Genomic DNA, 2943 nt, shown 5'->3' on the forward strand with positions numbered 1-2943 from the left:
CTATAGAATGTAGATTTTTTTCACAAGAGACATCTTTATAGGGCCAATTCAAAATACATCAAAGAAATATCTTTTGGGGTAAAATACTTCAATTTCTTTCAGAGCGTGCTGTCATGTGCTGCTACATTAGAGTCAGGTTGGAATTTGGTATCATGTGGCTACAAAGAGTTTGTTTCATCAGTCTTAAGATCTTTTTTAACATTAATGCTGGTCAGTTGTGCCTGAATTCCAAAGCAGGGAAGGTATAACCAAGCATGTCCTACCCCCACTTCTCATCCCAGCCTGAACTAGTTTTTCAGGTTTACTTTGGAATCCTCTTGGCTGAGAGTAGGGGTCCATTCAGTCGGGTTTGGGCTTAGAATTTTATTTTTGGTCTACATCTTAGAATTTGCATGCTTTGCAGGGTTCAGATGTGTAATCCTCCAGGTCTAAAATTCTGTTACTCAGCCACTGTCTCACCAAATGATCCAACAAATGACCATTCGACAGACACTACAAAACATTATAAAGTTTGCTGAAACTCAAGTGACCTCCCACACAGCTACAGATACTGTGACCAGCACTGTGGATCTAGAACGAGCACTGCCCTGAGAAGGTAACCATCCTGGAATCTTGGTTTAAGTGTAACTAAAAGATGGGGCTGAGGAGTGGGGTTTCTATAATCCATAGTATGCAAAACACACTGCACAGAATCCGTAACTTGCAAAACACATAAACTATACAGAAACTACATCTTAAAACACAAACCATTAAAGTTCCACCTGCTTTAGCAACATCTGATTCAGACTTTGTTCTAGAAAAATAAAACCATAGTTTCAGCTATTGACTTGCTTCACACCAAACTAGTAAGTTCCCTAGTTTTTCTTTTTCTTTTCTTTCTTTTTTTTTTTTTGAAAAGGAGTCTCGCTCTGCTGCCAGGCTGTAGTGCAATGGCACGATCTCGGCTCACTGCAACCTCCGCCTCCCGGGTTCAACTGATTCTCCTGCCTCAGCCTCCTGAGTAGCTGAGACTACAGGTATGTACTACCAAGCCTGGCTAATTTTTGCATTTTTAGTACAGACGGGGTTACACCATGTTGCCAGGATGATCTCGATTTCTTGACCTCCTGATCTGCCCGCCTTGGCCTCCCAAAGTTCTGGGATTACAGGCGTGAGCCACCGCACCTGGCCTAAGTTCCCTAGTTTCTAAATTCTAACCAATTGCTGCCAAGCCCTACCTACTACCTCCCACCTAAAATCACCCTATGTCAAACCTGCTCCAAAAAAACTCGTGTTTAATCTACTGAATTCCTTTGGTGAGGGCTCCCTCACCTGGCAAGTCTCTGATGAACTCTTGTTTTTCTAATCACAACAGATTTCTCTCCAACCATCTTGTGTGAGGCCTTTGACTGAAGCCACCTGGATGAACTTGGATAAAGATGTGCTTTGCCCCCATGTGGAGGTGATTGTCAGGACCCCATATGGCCATCTGGATGACCTCCTCCTTGCCCAAACAGGAGAGCCTAGCATCTGGTAGGCACACATTTGTTGGAGAAAAATAAGCCACCAGGCTGGGCGCGGCTCACACCTGTAATCCCAGCACTTTGGGAGGCCGAGGCGGGTGGATCACTTGAGGTCAGACATTCGAGCCAGCCTGACCAACATAGTGAAGCCCTGTCTCTACTAAAAATACAAAAATCAGCTGGGCATGGTGGCAGGTGCCTATAATCCCAGTTACTTGGGATGCTGAGGCAGGAGAATCGCTTGAACCAAGGAGACAGAGGTTGCAGTGAGCTGAGATCGCACCCGTGCACTCCAGCCTGGGGGTTAGAGAGTGAGACTTCATCTCAAGAAAAAAAAAAAGAAAGAAAGAAAGAAAAAGAAACCACCAACATGAAATAAATAACATTTTGCTTAGGTAAACATGTATATGTATAGTTGCCTGTTCATCTCAGGAAAATTAATGAGAAGCAAAAGCTTCAAATGCATAAAGATGTTCCCAGTTGATAATAAAACCGTTCTTGCAGAGCAGAGCCACAGGCTATCTTTGTGCTGCAAGTTGAACCAGGTAGATATTTTTTAATTTTCTTCATTTCTTTTCAACTTCTCAAGTCTTCTCCAAGGAAAGACCATGGTACAGTGCAGACTTGGAGTAATTTTAACCATTACAATCGGTACAGAAGATGCTACAAGAAACACACCAGTAGGCTGGATGCAGGAAAGGGTCCAAAGAAACAGGGACACAGGCATTCAGGGCCTGTGCCTGTGAATAATGCAAGCTCATGGCTCTTTGGCAGTAGGGTGAGAGCTCACAGAAGTCTCACCAGGCCCCTGCTTCTGCTGGGATATTGCCTAGAAGAATTTTGTCTGCTCCAATAACACCTCTCTTATATCTACTTGTCTCTTATTCTTGATAAGGAACCAAACAATGCAAAGAATATGGGAAAGAACATTTCAGGCAGAAGAGCCAGCCCATGGGAGCCTTAGTGGGGGAGTGGTATTCATGGAGAAGCCGAAAGACCATGACGCATGAAAAAGAAAGTGGCCTCGGCCGGGCGTGGTGTCTCCTGCCTGTAATCCAAACACTTTGGGAGGCTGAGACAGGTGGATCATGCGGTCAGGAGTTCAGGACCAGCCTGGCCAAGATGGTGAAACCCCATCTCTACTAAAAATACGAAAAAAAAAAAAATTAACCAGGCATGGTGGCAGGCACCTATAATCCCAGCTACTTGGGAGGCCAAGGCAGAGAATTGCTGGAACCTGGGAGGCAGAGGTTGCAGTGAGCCGAGATCGTGCCACTACACTCCAACCTGGGTGACAGACAGAGACGCCGTCTCAAAAAAAAGAAAAGTGGCCTGACATGAGGCTGGCAGGGAGGAGGGAGGCAGTATGCTGCTATCTTAGTATGAACACTTTTCTAAGTTAATTAAGACAACTTCATATTTACACCTCTGCTGCTGAGAC

This window comes from Homo sapiens, chromosome 18, assembly GCF_000001405.40.
Source record: "Homo sapiens chromosome 18, GRCh38.p14 Primary Assembly".
In the NCBI taxonomy this organism is placed as follows: Eukaryota; Metazoa; Chordata; class Mammalia; order Primates; family Hominidae; genus Homo; species Homo sapiens.